The sequence below is a fragment of the Homo sapiens genome, chromosome 10 (genome assembly GCF_000001405.40).
Source record: "Homo sapiens chromosome 10, GRCh38.p14 Primary Assembly".
In the NCBI taxonomy this organism is placed as follows: domain Eukaryota; kingdom Metazoa; phylum Chordata; class Mammalia; order Primates; family Hominidae; genus Homo; species Homo sapiens.
In genome coordinates this window covers 63092200-63113124 of record NC_000010.11, presented here as the reverse complement: position 1 = coordinate 63113124, position 20925 = coordinate 63092200, and the positions used below count along the sequence as shown (strand labels likewise).

General features: G+C 42.8%; 1 pseudogene, besides 1 other annotated feature; it reads right to left on the bottom strand.

Annotated features, from left to right (window-relative positions):
* Positions 2879 to 2986, bottom strand: RNU6-543P (RNA, U6 small nuclear 543, pseudogene; annotated as a pseudogene).
* Positions 11650 to 11850: a silencer, noted in NCBI's record as "peak959 fragment used in MPRA reporter construct". NCBI's record gives its function as "represses an SCP1 promoter by STARR-seq MPRAs in K562 erythroleukemia cells {active_cell/tissue: K562}" and the evidence as "EXISTENCE:reporter gene assay evidence [ECO:0000049][PMID:32103011]".

The following is a 20925-nucleotide window of genomic DNA, read 5'->3' as shown; positions in this document are numbered from 1 at the left end:
TCCCCTTTTCTTATGAACCTTACCGCACAGATTTGAATAAATTATAATCCTTGGTTCATGACCAATTGTCATCAGTGGTTCATGCATGGTACCTTTTGTTTGTAGTTAATTTGATTTACAATGTAATGAATATCCACCACTACTCCAAAACAAAGCTGATGTGAACATTCCTGTACATGTTTTCCTGAGTTCATGTGCATGCATTTAGCTAAACACTTATATAGGCTAGAATTGCTGCATCAAGGATTATGCATATGTTTGGCTTTAGCAGAGATCGCCAAACAGTTTTTCAAAATACACTACCACCAGCAGTGAATTAAAATGCCACTTGCTTTAAAAGGTTGTCAATAGTTTGTATTCTTTGTCTTTTTAATTTTAACAATTTTACTGGATATGAAGATTGTCTTACTCTTTAACCCCTTAAGAGCTGACTTCTGTTCCCATTACTTTATGCAGTTAAACAAGGTGCTTCTGAAGATATCTCTACTAAGCTCTTGATCATCAAGTTTAATGACTTTTCTTCAATTCTTGTCCTTCATCTCACAGTAATATTTAACACCACTTTTTTCTTGAAACTCTATTTTTTTGACTTCTATCATACAGTATTATCTTAGAAGGTACTCATTTATCATTTATCCATAATTTCAAAATCCAATATACCCTGAAAACTAAATTCTTTTTTTTTTTGAGACAGAACCTTGCTCTCAAGGTTTTTGTTTTGTTTTGTTTTGTTTTTGTTTTTTTTTTGAGACAGAACAAAGCTGGAGTGCAGTGGTGCGATCTGGGCTCACTGCAATCTTCACCTCCCAAGTTCAAGCAATTCTCGTGTTTAGCCAACCAAGTAGCTGGGACTAGAGGTCCCTGTGCCACCATGTCCAGCTAACTTTTGTATTTTTAGTACAGACAGGGTTTCACCATGTTGGCCCCGCTGGTCTCAAACTCCTGATCTCAAGTGATAACTTCCTTGGCCTCCCAAAGTGTTGGGATTACAGGTATGAGCCACCGCACCTGGCCTGTTTTTTTTTCTTTTTCTTTTTGTTTTTTTCTATTTTTTTTGAGACAGGGTCTTGCTCTGTTGCCCAGGCTGGTGTACAGTGGCACAATCATGGCTCACTGCAGCCTCCACCTCACAGGCTCAAGTGATCCCCCCACCTCAGTCTCCCGAGTAGCTGGGACTATAGGCATGCACCACCACCCCCAGCTAATTTTTAAACTTTTTATAGAGATAGAGTCTCACTGTGATGCTCAGGCTGGTGAAATTTTTATACACTCATTTAATGGCACACTCATCCTGAACTGTCACAAGACTATTTTTGGTCCTTCTTTAACCCACTTATGAATATTCACATGATTCATTAAAGATTTATCAATGTGTTTGATTGTGAGATACTTTCCCAGTCCCTGTTCTATAATATAGAGTATAGGCACTATATTATCTTTCTAAAATCAGTAAATTCTGAATTCTGAAATATATCTGACTGACTCGGAGTTTTGGGCAAGATTTTGTGGACTGTGGTTGAAAAAGTATAGAGTCCTATGAACCTGGGCATGGATCCCATTTCACTTAATGTCTTGAAACGTCAGCTGTTGTTACTTTTTATTTTTATTTTATTTTATTTCATTTTTTGAGATGGAGTTTCACTCTTGTCACCCAGGCTGGAGTGCAATGGCACAATTTCCGCTCACTGCAACCTCCGCCTCCCAGGTTCGAGTGATTCTCCTGCCTCAGCCTCTGGAGTAGCTGGGATTACAGGCACCCACCACCAAGCCCGGCTAATTTTTTTGTATTTTTAGTAGAGATGGGCTTTCGCCATGTTGGCCAGGCTTGTCTCAAACTCCTGACCTCAGGTGATCCACCTGCCTCGGCCTCCCAAAGTGCTGAGATTACAGGTGTGAGCCACCGTGCCTCGCCTGTTCCTTTTTATTTCTAAAACAGGGATGAAAATAGCTAGCTGATAAGGCTGTGAACATCTTTACTTTTATGACTCACATATCTACAACTCAATGTACTGTATTGAATACTGAGTTTACCATCCGGCCCTCCCCCTGACCATCTGCTTTTTTGTTTCCTATCTCAGGGCATGTCACTAACTGCCCAACTACTGGCTCAACTCAGAAACCTAAGCATCATCCTCAGTTTATTCCTTATTTTCCAGTTCATTAGCAAGTCCTGCCAACTACAAGTTCTGAAGATTTCTCAATTCTGCATACTTCTCTCTATTCCCATCCTACCTATTTTATTATAAAAACCTCCTAACTTGTCATTCTATTTCCAATGTTACTATTTTTCACTTCACTCTCCACACTAAAGCCAAAGTGATCAATGTAGATATGGTTCTGTCAGTCTCTTGCTTACAGAGTTCCACTGGCTTCCTATTGCCCTGAGACAAAGCCCCAATTCTATCATGACTTCCAAGGCCTTCCAAGGTTCTCTGTTGACCTCTCTGGTATTATCTAGAAAATACTTTTGGTTTTCGGCTGGGTGCAGTGGCTCACGCCTGTAATCCCAGCAGTCTGGGATGCCAAGGCGGGCACATCACCTGAGGTCAGGAGTTCGAGACCAGCCTGGCCAACGTGGCGAAACCCCGTCTCTACTAAAAATACAAAAATTAGCGAGGTGTGGTGGTGGGCGCCTGTAATCCCAGCTACTGGGGAGCCTGAGGTGGGAGAATCACTTGAATCCGGGAGGTGGAGGTTGCAGTGAGCCGAGATTGTGCCATTGCACTCCAGCCTGAGTGACAGAGCAAGACTCTATCTCAGAAAAAAAAAAAGAAAATACTTTTGGTTTTCTGACGTACCATACTTTCTTGTTCTCTGGCCTTTGACCAGCGTTTACCTGCAGTCTGAAGCACTCTTTTCTCCACTCTTTGTTTTTATCTTTAAATTTAATTGCTTCACAAATTTGCATGTCATCCTTGCACAGGGGCCATGCTAATTTGCTCTGTATCATTCCAATTTTTAGTATATATGCTGCTGAAGTAAGCACCTTTTCTCCACTCTTTTTTAATTTTAATTTTAATTTTTTTTTTTTGGAAATGAAGCCTAGCTCTGTCACCCAGGCTGGAGTGCAGTGGCGCGATCCCAGCTCACTGCAACCTCCACCTCCCGGGTTCAAGCGATTCTCCTGCCTCAGCTTCCTGAGTAGCTGGGATTATAAGCACCCACCACCACGCCCAGCTAATTTTTGTATTTTTAGTGGAGATGGGGTTTCACTGTGTTGGCCAGGCTGGTCTCAAACTCCTGACCTCGTGATCTGCCCTCCTCAGCCTCCTAAAGTGCTGGGATTACAAGCGTGAGCCACTGCGCCTGGTTCCTTAATTTTAATTTGTATTTAGAAATGGGGGTCTCACTATGTTGACCAGGCTGGTCTTGAACTCCTGGTCTCAAGCAATCCTCTCATCTCAGCCTCCCAAAGTGCTGGGATTACAGGCATGAGCCACCACACCCACCATTCCCCACTCTCTACCTGGCTAATTACATGCAAACTCAAGCCTTACCTTGGGTGAGATTTCTTTCTGGAAACCTAACCTGTTAATGGATTGAATTATGTTCTCCCAAAATTCATAGGTTGAAGTCTTAACAACTAATATGATTATATTTGGAGACAGGGCTTTTAAGGAGATAATTAAGTTTAAGTAAGGTCGTCAGGGTGGGCCCTAATCTGATAGAAGTGGTATAATTGTAAGAAGAGGTAGAGAGACTAGACAAGGTGGCTCAATCCTGTAATCCCAGCACTCCCTCTTCAGTGGATCACCTGAGGTCAGGAGTTCAAGACCAGCCTGACCAACATGGTGAAACCCCGTCTCTACTAAAAATACAAAAATTAGCCAGATGCGGTGGCGGGTGCTTGTAATCCTAGCTACTCAGGAGGCTGAGGTAGGAGAATTGCTTGAACCCGGGAGGCAGAGGTTGTAGAGTGGTGTGAGATCACACCACTGTACTCCAGCTTGGGAGACAGAGTAAGACCCTGTCTCAACAACAACAACAACAACAAAAAGAGTCAGAGACACCAGGGGTATGTCTGCACAGATGTAATTGCCCTGTGAGTTCTTGCCCATAGCAAAGACAAAACTACTTCACTGAGAACATGCTATTGCAGTAGAGAAAGAGTTTAATCAACATGAGGCTGGCCACGCAGGACATAACAGTATTACTCAAATTAGTCTCCCCAAAGGCTCAGAGGTTAGGATTTTGATGGACAATTTGGTGGGGGGTAGGGGGACATAGGGAAAGGGTGCTGCTGATTGGTGAGGGATGAAATCACAGGGTGTGGAAAATGGTCTTTATATGCTGAGTCTGTCAGTGGGGCCACAGGACCAGTTGAGTCATCAGTCATGACCAGGTGGGGTCAGTCTGGAAAACATCTCAGAAAACCAATCTTAGGTTCTATAGGCTGAGTGCGGTGGCTCACGCCTGTAATCCCAGCACTTTGGGAGGCTGAGGCGGGTGGATCACAAGGTCAGGATATCGAGACCATCCTGGCTAACACGGTGAAACCCTGTCTCTACTAAAAATACAAAAAATTAGCCGGGCACTGTGGCAGGTGCCTGTAGTCTGAGCTACTCGGGAGGCTGAGGCAGGAGAATGGTGTGAACCCAGGAGGCAGAGCTTGCAGTGAGCTGAGATTGCACCACTGCACTCCAGCCTGGGCAACAGAGCAAGACTCAGTCTCAAAAAAAATAAAAGTAAAAAAAAAAAAGAAAACCAATCTTAGGTTCTACAATAGTGATGTTATCTATAGGAGCAATTAGGGAAGTCATAAGTCTTGTGACCTTGTACCACATGGTGGTACCCCTGAGCAGTAAGGGATTATAGGAACTACGCCTACATTTTAGCAAAATTCACGTCATTCCTTTGATCCTAATCTTGTGGCCTTTCGTTAGTCTTACAAAGGCAGTTTCAGCCCCTGAACAGGGATTGGATTAATTTTAGGGACTACTGTCATCCTTGCTTCAAAGTTAAACTAAAATGCTCCCAAAGAGAGCTTGGCCTGTGCCCAGGAATGACCAAGTATGGCTTGGAGGTCAGAAGCAAGATGGAGTCAATGTTGTCAGATTTCTCTTACTGTCATAATTTTGCAAAGGTGGTTTCACAGAGAAGGCCATGTGAGGAGACAGCAAGAAAGCAGCTGTCTGCAAGGCAAAAAGAAAGACCTCAGGAGAAACCAGGCTTGCCAGCACCTGGTCTCCAACTTTCAGCCTTTAGAACTGTGAGAAAATAAAACTTTGTGCCTTAAGCCACCCAGTCTGTGTTATTTTGTTATGGTTGCCTTTGCACACTAACACACAATCTTTTGAGGCAGAGTTTCGCTCTCATCACCCAGGCTGGAGTGTAGTGGTGTGATCTCGGCTCACTGCAAACTCCGCCTCCCGGTTTCAAGCGATTCTCCTGCATCAGCCTCCTGAGTAGCTGGGATTACAGGTGAGCGCCACCATGCCCAGCTAATTTTTGTATTTTTAGTAGAGATGGGGTTTCGCCATGTTGGCCAAACTGGTCTCAAACTTCTGACCTAAGGCCTGCCTCAGCCTTCCGGTGTGCTGGGATTACAGGTGTGAGCCACTGAGCCCAGCCCGTAATACATAATCTTTCCTCTGTCTTCCATAGTGTGCCTTAGAACCTTTACCACATGATATTGTAGTTATCTGTTTTGTCCTTTATGTCCTCCTTTTAGACTGGAAGCTGTCCAAGAGCAGGAATTTGTCTAGCTTCTTCACCACCATAACCCAGCACCTGCGTAGTAGCCAGCACATTGTAAAGAAAAAAACAAACTGTTTTTCTCTCTACTCACACCCAACACAAAACACTTCTGTGAAGAGATGTGTGGGTTTTTCACCACACACCAAGCAATTCTCCAGCAGATGCCAACTGGGTGTCCTATAATTCAATTCCATTCTGACGCTGCCTACCTGGAGATTGGGTCAGATCCCACAGGTTAAGGGTTCAGTCCCAAAAGGCTGCCCTGCTTCAGGCTCCAGTCCCAAGTCCCAGGTTTTGATCTGTGTTTCTTGCTGACTGATTACAAATTGAATTCCCACAACCCTCCTTCCCCAGGATTTGGTTTAATGGTCTATATTATAAAGGATATAGGTCTGGGTGCAGTGGCTCATGCTTGTAATCCCAGACTTTGGGAGGTCGAGGCAGGCGGATCTCTTGAGGCCAGGAGTTTGAGATCAGCCCAGCCAACATGGTAAAACCCCGTCTCTACTAAAAATACAAAAATTAGCTGGGGGTGATGGCACACACCTGTAATCCCAGCTACTCAGGAGTCTGAGGCAGGAGAATCACTAGAACCCTGGAGGCAGAGGTTGCAATGAGCCAAGATAACACCACTGCACTCCAGCCTGGGCAACAGCGTGAGACTCTGTCTCAAAAAAAAAAAGAAAAAATAGATAAAGGATACAGATGAACAGCAAGATGAAAAGATGCATAGGGTATGATACGGGGAGGGATGCAGAGACACCCTCCTAGTGTAACCACGCAAGGGGTTGTTCACCTTGCCAGCTGCCTAAACAGAGCCGATTCATCAAGACGGGAATTGCAATAGACAAAGAGTAATTCACGCAGAGCTGGCTGTGCGGAAGACCAGAGTTTTATTGTTACTCAAAGCAGTCTCTCTGAGCATTCAGGGATCAGAGTTTTTAAGGACAAGTTGGTGGGTGCGGGGAAGCCAGTGAGCCAGGAGTGCTGATTGGTCAGGGATGAAATCATAGGGAGTGGAAGCTGTCTTCTTGCACTGAGTCAGTTCCTGGGTGGGGGCCACAAGATCAGATGAGCCAGTTTGTCCATCTGGGTGGTGCCAGCTGATCCATCAAGTGCGGGGTCTGCGAAATATCTCAAGCACTGATCTTAGGAGCAGTTTAGGGAGCGTCAGAGTCTTGTAGCCTTCAGCTGCATGACTCCTGAACCATAATTCCTAATCTTGTGGCTAATATTAGTCCTGCAAAGGCCATCTAGTCCCCAGGCAAGAAGGAGGTCTGCTTTGGGAAAGTGCTGTTATTGTCTTTGTTTTAAACTACAAACAATAAACTGAGTTTCTCCCAAAGTTAGTTCAGCCTATGCCCAGGAATGAACAAGGACAGCTTGGGGGGTAGAAGCAAGTTTGAGTCGATTACATTAGATCTCTTTCACTGTCTCAGTCATAGTTTTGCAAAGGCAGTTTCACTATTACTCAGGAAATTCCAAGGGTTTTAGGAACTCTGTCATAGGAACCTGAGACAAAGACCAAATGTATTTCTTATGCCACATACATTACAGGCACTCAATTAATATTTTTGAATAATAAATAAATTAGTGAAGTAGCACATGTGAATGTCCTACCATAGTTCTCAGTACATATCAACAGTAAGTGTAGCCAGGCTCGGTGGCTCACGCCTGTAATCCTAATCCCAGCACTTTGGGAGGCTGAGATGGGTGGATCGCTGAGATCAGGAGTTCAAGACAGGCCTGGCCAACATGGTGAAACCCCGTCTCTACTAGAAATACAAAAATTATCCAGCTGTGGTGCTGGGTGCCTGTAATCCCAGCTACTCTGGAGCCCGAGGCAGAAGAATCGCTTGAACCAGGGAGCTGGAGGTTGCAGTGAGCTGAGATCGTGCCATTGTACTCCAGCCTGGGCAACAAGAGTGAAACTCTGTCTCGAAAAACAAAAAAAACAGTAAGTGTGAGATCACTTTTTTTGTTTTTGAGACAGGGTCTCACTCTGTTGCCCAGGCTGTAGTGCAGTGGCATGACCACCACGCCCAGCTGGTTTTTAAGTTTTTTGTAGGGATGAGGTCTTTCTCCTGTTTCTGATTGCTTTTTCCTGTCACCAGCTCCCTCTCCCACCCAGTAAATGTAGTTGCAGCTTGATCTCACTGTGTTGCCCAGGCTGGGGTGCAGTGGTGCGATCTCAGCTCATTGCAACCTCCACCTCCTGGGTTTAAACGATTCTCCTGCCTTCACTTCCAGAGTAGCTGGAATTATAGGGGCCCGACACCACACCTGGCTAATTGTTATATTTTTAGTAGAGATGGGGTTTCACCATATTGGCCAGGCTGGTCTTGAACTCCAGACCTCAAGTGATCCTCCCACCTCGTCCTCCCAAAGTTCTAGGATTACAGGGATGAGCCACCTCGCCCAGCCCCCAGCTCCATCTTGCTTCTAACTTCCAAGCTGTCTTTGTTCATTCCTGGGTGTAGGGTGAACTAACTTTGGGAGGAACTTAGTTTATAGTTTATTATTATTATTACTTTTTGAGATGGAGTTTCGCTCTTGTTGCCCAGGCTGAAATGCAATGGCGCGATCTCAGCTCACTGCAACCTCCGCCTCGCAGGTTCAAGGGATTCTCCTGCCTCAGCCTCCCACGTAACTGGGATTACAGGCATGCACCACCATACCTGGCAATTTTGTATTTTTAGTAGAGATAGGGGTTTCACCATGCTGGCCAGGCTGGTCTCGAAATCCCGACCTCAGGTGATCCACCTGCCTTGGCCTCCCAAAGTGCTGGAATTACAGGTGTGAGCCACCACGCTTGGCCAATGGTTTATAGTTTAAAACAAAGGCCCTTTCCCAAAGCAAACCCTTTTCTTGCCTGGGAACTAGACGGCCTTTGGAGGACTAACAAATTAGCCAAAAGATTAAAAATTATGGTTTAGCAGTCAAGCAGCTGGAGGCTACAAGATTCTGACCCTCCCAAATTGCTCCGGGGGATAACATCACTATTGTAAAGCCTAAAATCAGTGCTTGAGATATTTTGCAGACCCTGCACTTGATGGATCAGCTGGTACCACCCATATTGATAAACTGGCTCATCTGATCTTGTCACCCCCGCACCAGGAACTGACTCAGCGCAAGAAGACAGCTTCCACTCCCTATGACTTCATCTCTGACCCAACCAATCAGCAGTCCCGGCTCACTGGCTTCCCCCAGCTCACCAAGTTGTACTTAAAAACTCGGATCCCCAATGCTGGGGGAGACTGATTTGAATAATAATGAAACTCTGGTCTCCCGCACAGCCGGCTCTGTATCAATTACTCATTCTTTATCGCACTTCCCCTGGTAAATTGGCTGTCTAGGCAGCAGGCAAGGTGAACCCATTGGGCAGTTACAAGCCACTATGCCTGGCTAAAAATTATGTTTTGAATAGGTAATACATTTGCATGCTTCAAAAATTCCAAAGGCCAATTTCCCTCGCTGGAGGCATCTTCTGTGGACTTTGAGAGATACACATATCAATCCATACCGCAAGAGATGTATAGTGTACACACTATTCTCTACCTTTCACTAGACAATGTATCTTGGAAATCTTTCTATATCAGTACAGAAAGACCATAGCCAAACAGAAGTTTTTGCATGTTGCCATTGTCTTATCTTCCTAATCTCCCATTCTTTCCTTAATCTATTCTAATATGGCTTCTGTATCATCTAATGGAATCACTATTTTCTTTTTTTTTGAGACAGAGTCTCATTCTGTCACCACGTTAGAGTGCAGTGGTGCGATCTCGGCTCACTGCAAACTCTGCCTCCCGGGTTCAAGCGATTCTTCTGCCTCAGCCTCCCAAGTAGCTGGGACTACAGGCATGCACCACCACACCCAGCTAATTTTTGTATTTTTTGTAGAGACGAGGTTTCACCATGTTGGCCAGGATGGTCTAGATCTCTTGACCTTGTGATCCACCTGCCTTGGCCTCCCAAAGTACTGGGATTACAGGCATGAGCCACTGCTCCCGGCTTAGAATCACTATTTTCAAGGGCACTAAAGACCTTCCATTGCCAAGTCCAAAGGACTGGACTGCGTGCCAGTCCTTATCCTATTATACTTCTTGGCAGCATTTGATGCGGCAAACCCTATCTTCCTCTTAAAACACTTTATTGCCTTGTGGAGAATAATTTTCTGTGAAGAGAATGAAGCATAGGACACAGGGCTTTTCACTGCCACCTGCTCCTTCCAAGGACCTACAAGGAATTCTAGCCATGAGTTCACAAGGTCATGTAATTCTGTATAATTTGCAAACTATTTTTACCACAGTCAGTCAAGACCACTGTCTCTTTTCACTCTGACCTCTTCTTGATCACATTCTTTCTGCATTTTGGGATCCAGCTCAGGAAAGTTGAGTTACAAACATTTAGTTTGGATTTGGTCATACCAGTGTGGTCATACCATATAGAAGGAGTTCCAGGAATATTCTTTCTACCTCTGCACCATCTCACCCAGGGTTGTGACATGAAGGTGCAAGGCTTGATGTCATATGATAACATCAACAATTTCTATGGCATTCTGCTCTGTAAGTACATAAAATTGGGGGCCCAGCAAGGTGGCTCACGACTGTAATCCTAGCACTTTGGGAGGCTGAGACGGGTAGATCACTTGAGCCCAGGAGTTTGAGACCAGCCTGGCCAACATGGCGAAACCCTGTCTCTACAAAAAATACAAAAAATTAGCTGGTCATGGTGGCACATGTCTGTAGTCCCAGTTACTCAGGAGGCTGAGGCATGATAATCGCTTAAAACCAAGAGGCAGAGGTTGCAGTGAGCTGAGTCACGCCACTGAACACCAGCCTGGGTGACAGAGCAAGACTGTTTCAAAGCAAAAAAAAATTGGGGAAAAACAGTGTTTGAAACACGTAGAACCAGAAGCTAATCTGTAAAAATTTCTTCTAATTTGAAGCATATAAACTTGTAAGCAGAGGAATTAGATTCTCACTGACAGCATATTAAATTAGAAATCCTCTTCTGTTAGGAATATACTTTTTTTTTTTTTTTTGAGATGGAGTTTCACTCTTATCGCCCAGGCTGAAGTGCAATGGTGCAATCTTGGCTCACTGCAACCTCTGCCTCCCAGTTTCAAGCAATTCTCCTACCTCAGCCTCCCAAGTAGCTGGGATTACAGGCATGTGCCACCACGCCCAGCTGATATTTTCTATTTTTTGTAGAGATGGGCTGGTCTCGAGCTCCTGACCTCAGGTGATCCACCTGCCTCAGCCTCCCAAAGTGCTGGAATTACAGGCATGAGCCACCACGCCCGGCTAGGAATATACTTGATCGTGCAGCATATATATCTAAAAAAGTACTGTTTTTAAAAAATGGACATGAGGCAAAATAAAATTTGTCAGAATTCCTGTTTCTAGGGCAGAAACCTGAAGAGTACTACAATGAGTATACACATGTATGAAGTCATGGGTTTTATTTATTTATTTGTTTGTTTGAGATGGAGTTTCACTCTGTCACCAAGGCTGGAGTGCAGAGGCACAATCTCAACTCACTGAAATGTCTGCCTTTTTGGGTTCAAGTGATTCTCCTGTCTCAGCCTCCCGAGTAGCTGGGATTACAGGTGAGCACCACCACTCCTGGCTAATTTTTTGTATTTTTTGTAGAGATGGGATTTTGTTATGTTGGCCAGGCTGGTCTCAAACTCCTGGGCTCAACTGATCCCCCTGCCTTGGCCTCCCATAATCCTGGGATTACAGGCATGAGCCACCACACCCAGCCTGAAGTCATGGGTTTTATACATTCCAACACATGGGGTTGCATTTTTTAAAATTTATTTTTTATTTATTATTACTTTTTTCCTTAATGTTGTAAATAAAATTTCGGTGCACAAAAGAAATAGCACTCGAAAAAAAATTTTCTTTTTAATTTTCAGCAAGGCAAGTTACTTCTATAGAAGGGTGCGCCCTTACAGATGGAGCAGTGGTGAGTGCACACTTGGACAAGGGAGGGGAAGGGGATCCTTATCTCTGACACACGTGGCCCCTGCTGCTGTGTCGTTCCGCTATTGGCTAGGGTTAAGATCACACAGGCTAAACTAATTCCGATTGGCTAATTTAAAGAAAGTGACTGGGTGAGTGGTTTGGCAGGAAAAATGGTTATGCAGGGTGGAGAATGAGTCAGGGCGGAGCAGGTAGCAGGTAATCGGAATGAGTCGGGGTGGATAAGGTAATCGGAATGAGTCAGGGTGGAGCAGGTGATTGAAATGAGTCAGGGTGGAGCAGGTAATCGAAAAAGTTGCTTTATGAGGAAGTTAAGTTTAAAAGTAGAAGGCAAAGAATTGGACCTACTGACATATTGATTCTTTGAAAAGAAACTTAGAACTCATATCTAACATTAATAAAGGTGAATTCTCACTATGTTGCCTAGGTTGGTTTTGAACTCCTGGACTCAAGCATCCTCCGGCCTTGGCCTCCCAGTGTTGGGATTGCAGGTATGAGCTGCCGTGCCTGGCTGGATTGCATTTTAGTATATTTGTCACATCTTGTTCTTCAAAATCTCCTGGTTCTAGATGAAATAGCACAAAAACTGGCATCAGAAAGTGAAGTGGTCTGAAGAATCCAGACACAGAACTCCTGCACTTCTTCATCAGTAAGTCGATGTATGCAATATATAAGGAATTTGACTGCACAATTGTTCTATGCAATGTAGTAGCAATTTGAAACACATTTGAATTACTTTTGTATATGTCTTAGTTTTAGTTTTTTTTTGTACTGATGATCATTTCACTGTTCAACTATGATGAGGAGAAGGCATCTTTGTGGAAATCAAGAAAGAAGACAGAAGCTTTAAAATACTTTAAAGTTGCTGTAATACTATTACAACAGAAACTAAAAGCTCTGTTAGTTGCAATCAAGATTAGAAAAAAAAATTTTTTTTTGACAGGGTCTCACTCCATCACCCAGGCTTGGGTGCAGTGGTGAAATCATAGCTCACTGCAGCCTCAAACTCCTGGGCTTAAGGGATCCTCCTGCCTAGCCTCTTGAGTAGCTAGGACTACAGAGGGGTGCCGCCATACCTGACTGGGATTAGAAAAATATTCTTGATAGCCAAAAGAGAAAATAAGAATGACTATGATAATCAAGATACCCAAACAGGAAATAGAAAATGGAATAAGGAAGATGAAAGTAATAATAAAGAAAAAACAAATTTTGTGTAGTCAACAGAACACACAAGAAGGTCAGCAGGCGCTTCAGTTTGGTGAATTCATTGATTTTTTTTTTTTTAATGTGTTCTCATCTGAGAATTCACTGATTTTGATAATTGCCATGATCTTTCATTGTGGTCCATTATGATGAGCAATAATTTTATTCAGCACTGAATAATAGAAAAGTTTGCTTTTTCAAATTTTTGATCTATTAATATTTACAGAGGAGCAAACAGAGCAGCTCATGAAAAAACATGTTTCTCAAAGACATATCTGTTTAGAATGTTTAAAAATGGTCAAACTGGTATAACCTGCTTAGCCTATTCTAAGACTGAAGGTTGCATTTATCATTTTGTTAGTAAACTGTTTTCAACAGGGCAGACATTACAACAGATGGGTTTTGGGGATGGATAAATAAATTAAGAAGTTTCAAAAGTCAAGTACATTCCACAGAAAAATTAGGAGGCCATGTTTACTTAGAATACATGTAAATCAAATAAAAATGCACTAGACTAATTTCTTGAAAAATAAAACATAATGCTACAAAGAGTAGCTGTAGTTATTAAATTTTAAAATAAAAGTTGCTTCAGAGGTCATAGTAAAAATATAGTGTTCTTCACACAAAGGTACTTTCATAGGGATCATTGAACTAATTTCTGGATTCTATTCTATTTTTGCATTGTGACTTGGAAAAAAGTCAATATAAAAGAACAAATGTAACATCTAAAAACTTATGAAAGGTTAACAATATGTACAAAATGAAATAGTTACTGTTACTTTCTTTGAGACAGGGTCTCCCTCTGTCACTCAGGCTGGAGTGCAGTGGTACAATCTCAGCTCACTGCAACCTCCACCTCTCGGGTTCAAGCAATTCTCCTGCCTCAGCCTCCTGAGTAGCTGGAATTACAGGTGCCCTCCACCATGCCCAACTAATTTTTGTATTTTTAGTAGAGACAGGGTTTCACCATGTTGGCCAGGCTGGTGTTGAATTCCTGACCTCAAGTGATCTGCCTGCCTTGGCCTTCCAAAATGCTGGGATAACAGGCGTGAGCCACCACACCCGGCTTATTCTACATTATTAATAGAAGCACTCATGAGCCATTTTTAACTTTGGTTAATTGAAATCTATTTATTTGTGACTTTATTCGGCAATTGCAAGCTTCCATTGAACAGTATTCATGATCTGTTGTACTATTATGCAACTTCTAGGAAAGGTGAATATAAGGAGCTGGAGTCGGCTCGGTGGCTCACACCTGTAATCCCAGCACTTTGGGAGGCTGAGGCGGGTGGATCATTTGAGGTCAGGAGTTGGAGATCAGACTGGCCAACATGGTGAAACCTTGTCTCTACTAAAAATACAAAAATTAGCCAGGTGTGATGGTGGGCACCTGTAATCCCAGCTACTCGGGAGGCTGAGGCAGGAGAATTGCTAGAACCCAGGAGGCAGAGGTTGCAGTGAGCCAAGATTGCACCATTTCACTTCAGCCTGGGTGACAGAGCAAGACTCCGTCTCAAAAATAATAATAATAATAATAATAATAATTATGAGGAATTAAAAGCATTTTGATGGAGAAAAAGCTGCTCTGAGAATAACTAAAGCTGTTGGTGACTTCCACATTTTGCAGGTTATATTTTCCCTCTTGAGTTCTTTATATATGGAATATTTTATTTCATTTTATGTTGCAATACCATCCTGACACTCAACATATGTGGAATATCTTAAATAAACATGCCAACTTGGATTTTTCTGTAGTAAGTCTAAGTGTAAGGAGATTGCCATAGATGTTCTAAGCTTTGCAAGATGAATACAACGTTTTAAGGATTCTAAAACATTTTTCAGGCCAGGTGCAGTGGCTCACACCTGTAATCCCAGCACTTTGGGCGGTGGGCAGATCACAAGGTCAGGAGTTCGAGACCAGCCTGGCCAATATAGTGAAACCCCGCCTCTACTAAAAATACCAAAATTAGCCGGGCGTGGTGGTGGGCACCTGTAGTCCCAGCTACTCGGGAGGCTGAGGAAGGAGAATAGCTTGAACCCGGGAGGCAGAGTTTGCAGTAAGCTGAGATCACACCACTGTACTCCATCTTGGGCAACAAAGTGAGACCCCATCTCAAAAAAAACCAAACAGCAAAAAACAAAACAAAACAAAGAAACCAAAAAACATTTTTCAAAGACTCGGAAGAGAAAGACTAACACAACCTGATGCAAAGAGTTTATTTAAAATGTTAATGGGCTGGGCGCAGTGGCTCATGCCTATAATCCTAGTGCTTGGAAGGCTGAGGCAGGCAGATTGCTTGAGGCCAGCGTTTGAGACCAGCCTGAGCAACATGGTGAAACCCTGCCTCTACAAAAAACACAAAAATTAGCCATGCATGGTAACACAAGCCTGTAGTCCCAGCTACTCGGGAGGCTGAGATGGGACTTGAGCCCAGGAGGCAGAGGTGGCAGTGAGCAGAGAACTTGCCACTGTACTCCAACCTGAGCAACAGGGTGAGACTCTGTCTCAACAAATAAATAAATAAATAAATAAATAAATAAAATAAAATAAAATGTTTATGAAACTAGAATGTGCACTTTTAATTGCCATTTGGAAAATGTTTTGCAATATTTTAATAAAATAAGTGAGAAATTACAGACATCTGATTTGGACTTATATAAAGGATATTTTCTTATATCATTTAAAATTAACATAAGTTAAATATTAATAATATAGAAAAAATTCAGAATAAAAGATAAATTGGAAACAAAAGTGATAGAAAAATTTTTCTGATATTGAGAAGCAAATCATAAAAAATTTGCAGATTAAACCCAAAGCAGTAGCACGTTAAAAAGAAGAAAAATATTTTCAGTAGATGTAATGAATGAACTTACAGATTTTTTTTGAAAATCTCACTAGTAGAGGCAAATAAACACATTGGAAAAAGATTTAAATTTCTTGCTAATTTACATGAAAAACTGACTCTGATGAAGCTAACATAACATCTAATATGACACGATACAAGGACATCAATGACAATTGGTTAGTGAGTGTTGTAAATTCAAAAAGCAGTTAAGACAGTTACTACAAAAGATAACTTAAAATCCCAAATAACTTACAGATTGTAAAATAAACTTGATAGATGTTTTCCAAACTTGACATCATTCCTAAAAATATACATGACACTACAAATGATGACTTGTGAAGCTGAAAGAAATTTGTAAATTATTCATAATTCTTTTCTTTTTTTTTTTTTTTTTGAGACGGAGTCTCGCTGTGTTGCCCAGGCTGGAGTGCAGTGGCACGATCTCGGCTCACTGCAGCCTCCACCTCCTGGGTTCAAGTGATTCTCCCGCCTCGGCCTCCCGAGTAGCTGGGACTACAGGTGCATGCCACCACACCTGGCTAATTTTTTTGTATTTTTAGTAGAGATAGGGTTTCACCGTGTTAGCCAGGATGGTCTAGATCTCCTGACCTCGTGATCCGCTCTCCTTGGCCTCCCAAAGTGCTGGGATTACAGGCATGAGCCACCGCACCTGGCCTCATAATTATTTCAAAACCAAACAATCAACAATGCTAGAGGAAAGATTAAATTATCATTCTATTCATACCATAAACAATTACATTGCAAAGATATAGCCATATGAAGCCAAAACATGTAAAAAAAACTTATTATGTGGTGATGTTTTTTCTCATTCTAAGTAAGTGTTTACTCTGAACCTAATTTTATTTTAATAACTTTGCATCTTTTAAATTGAAGCAGACTCTGGCCAAGCTTGGTGGCTCATGCCTATAATCCCAGCACTATGGGAGGTCAAGGCAGGAGGATCGCTTGAGGCCAGGAGTTCAAGACTAGCCTGGGCAAAATAGTGAGCTCCTGTCTCAAAAAATATTAGAAATAAATTCCTCTGGTGGATGCTGAGGTTTAGAAAAAAAAGAAAAAGAAAAAATAAAAATAAAAATAAAAGAAAATAAAGCAGATTCCTCCCAAATAGTAAAACCATGAGGCCCCACACAATGTGGATCTGTCCGCATTGGTTTCCATGATGGCCACTACCCTGGTTTTCCAATTGACTCCTTACCTCCTCCCCTATTCAATTTCTACCAGGTGTTGTGCCCCTGGGCTCTTTGCTGGGGACCCTCCTCTGCCCCAGACACACTTTCTCCCTTGTCACTCTCTGTGACTTTAATTAATTATTATTTTTTAAGAGAGATGGGGGTCTTGCTATGTTGCCCAGGCTGGTCTTGAACTCCTGAGCTCAAGCAATCCTCCTGCCTCGGCCTCCCACAGTGTTGGGATTACAGGCGTGAGCCACTGCACCCGGCCAAATGCTGTTTCCTCAGCCTGTGACTTTAAATACCAGCTACAGTTGACTCTTGAACAACAGGAGGTTGGGAGTACGGGATAGGGACTTGGGGTGCCAACTTCACTCAGTTGCAGATCTGCAAATAACTTGTTTTCCTTACAGATGGGGTCTTGCTCTGTCTCTCAGGATGGAGTGCAGTGGTGAAATCATAGCTCACTGCAGCCTCTAACGCCTGGGCTCAAGGAATTCTCCCACCTCAGCCTTCACAGTAGCTGGGATTACAGGCCCAACCCACTGCACCCAACCACATATAACTTTTGACTCTTCCAAAACTTAACTACTAATAGCCCATTGTTAACCAGAAGGCTTACCTATAACATAACATTGATAAACACATATTTTGTATGCTACGTGTGTTATATAACTGTATTCTTACAATAGAATAAGCTAGAGAGAACAAAATGTTATTAAGACAATCATAAGGCAGAGAAAATATATTTACTATTTATTAAGAGGATCATCATAAAGGTCTTCATCCTCATTGTCTTGGAAGAGGAGGGGTTGGTCTTGCTGTCTCAGGGTGGCAGAGTTGGAATAAAATCCATCGTAAGTGGACTCATGCAGTTCAAACCTGTGTCGTTCAGGGGTCAACTGTATATGCAGGCTGGCTTTAAATATCAGGTTTTAACCCAGCCTTTCTTTACCTTTGAACTCCAGGCAGCCTATTTGCCTATTTGAGTATTGGATCTCTAATAGACATCTCAAATGGAATGTGTCCAAAATAGAACTCTTGACACCCACTAAAGCAAATTAATGAACAACTATTCCTTCCTCAGATTTACCAACGTAGGAAATGGTGCCAAAACCACTCAGTTGCTCATGTCAAAACCACCAGTGGTCATCCTTGATTAATTGCTCTTTTACTCCCTTTAATTCCAATTCATTACCAAGTCCCATTGGCTCTTCTCCCACACCTATTCTTCTAGCCATCCATTTCTCTCCATCCTTGCTGCTAATAACCCTAGGCCAATCCACCATCATTTTTCCTGAACACCTGCAAACAGCCTCCCAGCTGGTCTCCCTGCCTCTCCTCTCACAGTGCAGTCATTCTCCACAGTCACAGCAATGAACCAAATTAAATAATGACCTTTCCTTGCTTAATAACCCTCCTCAACAACCCTCCTTTCTCATCACACTAATAAGAAAGTTCAACTCTTTACTTTGGCCTGTGAGGCCCTCTGTGGTTTGACCTTGGCTCACCTTTCCAAAGCAATCCTCCATTACACTCCTTACTAAACACATTCTAGTCCCAGCAGTCTTCCTGCTCCTAGAACCCTCCAGGCTTGAGGTGTCACTATAGTGACTCTGAACCAGGTGTTTCTTTTGCCTGGAATGCTCTTTCCCCATGGCTCATTCCTTTTGGTTATTCAGTTCTTGGCTCAGAGGATAGCTCCTTAGCAAGCCCTTCCCTAATCGCTTATTAGAGCGGTTCTCTATGAGGGTGGTACCACTCCCTAGCAGGCATTTAGGAAATGTTTGGGGACATTTTTTTTTTTTTTGAGATGGAGTTTCACATTTGTTGCTCAGGCTAGAGTGCAATGGTGCGATCTCGGCTCACTGCAACCTCTGACTCCTGGGCTGAAGTGATTCTCCTGCCTCAGCCTCCCAAGTAGCTGGGATTACAGGTGCCCACCATCACACCTGGCTAATTTTTTTATTTTTAGTAGAGACAGGGTTTCACCACGTTGGCCAGGCTGTTCTTGAACTTCTGACCTCAGGTGATCCTCCTGCCTTGACTTCCCAAAGTGCTGGGATTACAGGCATGAGCCACTGCGTCCAGCCATGTTTGGGGACATTTTTGTTGGTCACAATAATTGGGGGTGCTACTGGCATTTAGTGACAGAGTGGAAAGGGAGGTCAGGGATGCTAGATATCACACAATATACAATAGAATCCTCCCAATGAAGGACTGCCCTACATACCTTTTTTTTTGTAAGAGTGCAGCTACCCTACTCTCTCTCTTTCTCTCTCTCTCTCTTTTTAAAAGAGACAGGGTCTCACCATGTTGCCCAGGCTGGAGTGCAGTGAATATTCACAGGCAGGATTGTAGTGCACTGTAGCCTCAAGCTTCTGGGCTCAAGTGGTCCTCGCCCCTTAGCCTCCTAACTAGCTGTGACTACAGGTACATACCACCATACCCGACAGTACTACATGACTTTGACTGTTCCTCTGGACAGCCGTGTAGGGAAAAACCTGTACCAAGAACCCACTCCATAGAACCATAGAAATCTAATGGCTAAGTATTTTTTGCTTAGTTATAACAGACACTGAAATTTTTGGAAATGCAATTATCATGTAAATTGATGAAAGATAATCCTTTGTTTTGTTTGAAACATTACCTAGAATTGTTCCTTTTTTAGATAAATCAAGTCATCAGGGGTAATGCTGCTGATAATATTTGAGTCCTTCGTAACACTCCTATAATCAGTGGACGTTTGAGGCTATTACATTCACAGTGACTCACTGTTTGGAAGCAAACATCTGACAGTCTCATTATGTCTTCAAGTATAGTCATGCCCAATCATTTACATACTGAAATGCATCCTTTATTATAAATATGTCCTCTTATTTCTCTTTATTATAGTTAGGAACATATATACAGTATTCCTAATATATGTATACTTATATATTTTAAACCATGTGTGTATGTAGACTGTATCATCTATGAATTTCATTTTAGAATCACAAACTCTGTTATAAAATATGTTATTAATAAAGGCTATTGGGTCTGACAGAGTTGAAAAATACTGAGTAGAGAGTAGAATGGTGGTTACCAGGGATGGGGTGGGGGTGTGTGGGAGTGGCTGGGGAGATGGTGGATACAAAATTTCAGTTAGGTAGAAGAATAAGTTCAAGAGCTCTATTATATAACATGGTGACTAGAATTTATTTATTTATTTATTTATTTATTTTTGAGAAAAAGCCTCCCTTTGTCCAGCCTAGGCTGGAGTGCAGTGGCACAATTATGGCTCACTCAAATATTACCAGCGGCATTGTCCTTGATGACATGCTTTACCTAAATAAGGAACAATTCTACATAATGCTTAAAACAAAACAAAAGGTTATCTTTCATCAATTTACATGATAATTGCGTCTCCTCAACTGCCTGGGCTCAAGTGATCCTCCCACCTCAGCCTCCTGAGTAGTTAGAACTGCAGGCACTCACCGCCATGCCTGGCTAATTTAAAAATTTTTTGTTGGCGGGTAGGGGTCTTCCTATGTTCCCCAGGCTGGTCTTGAACTCCTGGGGCTCAAGTGTCCTCCTGACTTGGTCTCTGAAAGTGCTGGGATCATAGGCATGAGCCATCATGCCTGGCCCAATGTGTTGTATTTTAAAAAATTGCTAGGAGAGGCCGGGCGTGGTGGCTCATGCCTGTAATCCCAGCACTTTGGGAGGCCAAGGTGGCGGATCACGAGGTCAGGAGATAGAGACCATCCTGGCTAACACAGTGAAACCCCGTCTCTACTAAAAATACAAAAAAAATTAGCCGGGTGTGGTGGGGGGTGCCTGTAGTCCCAGCTACTTGGGAGGCTGAGGCAGGAGAATGGCATGAACCCGGGAGGCAGAGCCTGCAGTGAGCTAAGATCGTGCCACTGCACTCCAGCCTGGGTGACAGAGCAAGACTGTCTCAAAAAAAAAAAAAAAATTGCTAGGAGAGTAGATTTTAAGTGTTCTCACCACAAAACA